This window comes from Homo sapiens, chromosome 5 (assembly GCF_000001405.40).
Source record: "Homo sapiens chromosome 5, GRCh38.p14 Primary Assembly".
NCBI classification, from domain to species: Eukaryota; Metazoa; Chordata; class Mammalia; order Primates; family Hominidae; genus Homo; species Homo sapiens.
This window is the reverse complement of record NC_000005.10, coordinates 6,274,318-6,275,293: the sequence shown is the minus strand read 5'-3', so window position 1 is coordinate 6,275,293 and position 976 is coordinate 6,274,318. Positions and strand designations below refer to the sequence as shown.

The following is a 976-nucleotide window of genomic DNA, read 5'->3' as shown; positions in this document are numbered from 1 at the left end:
AGTTCTGGGTAACAGTCTGTTTCTGAGCTCATTGAAGTTGATGGCAGAATTCAATTCTTTGTGGTGTAGGATGGAGGTCTCCATTCTGTCTCAGGCTGTCATGTGGGGGCCATTCTCAGTGGCTAGAAGCCACCCCTTTTCTTGCTCCATGACCTCTCTGTCTTCAAAGGCAGCAGTGGGGAATTTCCCTTGCATCAAATTCCCTTCAACTCTGAACATCTTTCTCCAGGGAGAGCCACACCCTTTTAGGGGCTCCCCTAATGAGGTAAAACCTGCAAGGACCATCCCCCTCACTTAAAGCCAACTGTGCCACAAAACATGACCTCAACACTTGAGTGATGTCCCGGCATGTTTGCAGGTTCTGCCCACACTAAGGAGGTTGTGGGGGTGGGGAGTTTCCACAAGGGGGCATTTGGATCATTGCTGGTCATTTTAGAATTCTGCCCACACAGTTCCAAAGAGTCCTGATGGACCATCAATTGTTCTCTTCTACAGTGGCAAAAAAATGTGTGTCCTTTACATTCTGGGCCTTTCTTTTGGACAGCAATGGACAAAGCCGGCTGCCTTCTGGGTCACTGCCCTTGCTTTTGTATGTGTCTAGGATTCCCCTGGAAATGTATTGCTCTCCTAGGAGGTATCCAGAAAGGTAGGAGGTGGTTTTTGTTTTCATCACTACTGAGGCAGCTTCTGGGATTTGGTGGCTTGGGCCAGGGGTGCAGACCACTCCCACTATGCAAGGGAGAGTCCTGACCACAACTTCTTCTGCCTATGTGGTTTTGCAGGAGAGAACACTGTATGGTGAATTAGGGCTTTGCTTACTGAATTATGATCCCATTCCAGCTGCCTCCAGGACAATACCCCCAGCTCATGCTTTTGGCAAACACTTTTGTCTGTCTTTGTACAATGGGTCCATTTTTAGATAATGAGTGGGTTCCGGGAACCTTGATTTAAAAAAAAGCCCTTAAGTGACGTCGGT

At 48.1% G+C, this 976-nt stretch overlaps 1 annotated feature.

Moving 5' to 3' along the window:
• Positions 276 to 385: an enhancer, noted in NCBI's record as "active region_22328". NCBI's record gives its function as "activates an Ori minimal core promoter by ATAC-STARR-seq in GM12878 lymphoblastoid cells {active_cell/tissue: GM12878}" and the evidence as "EXISTENCE:reporter gene assay evidence [ECO:0000049][PMID:35858748]".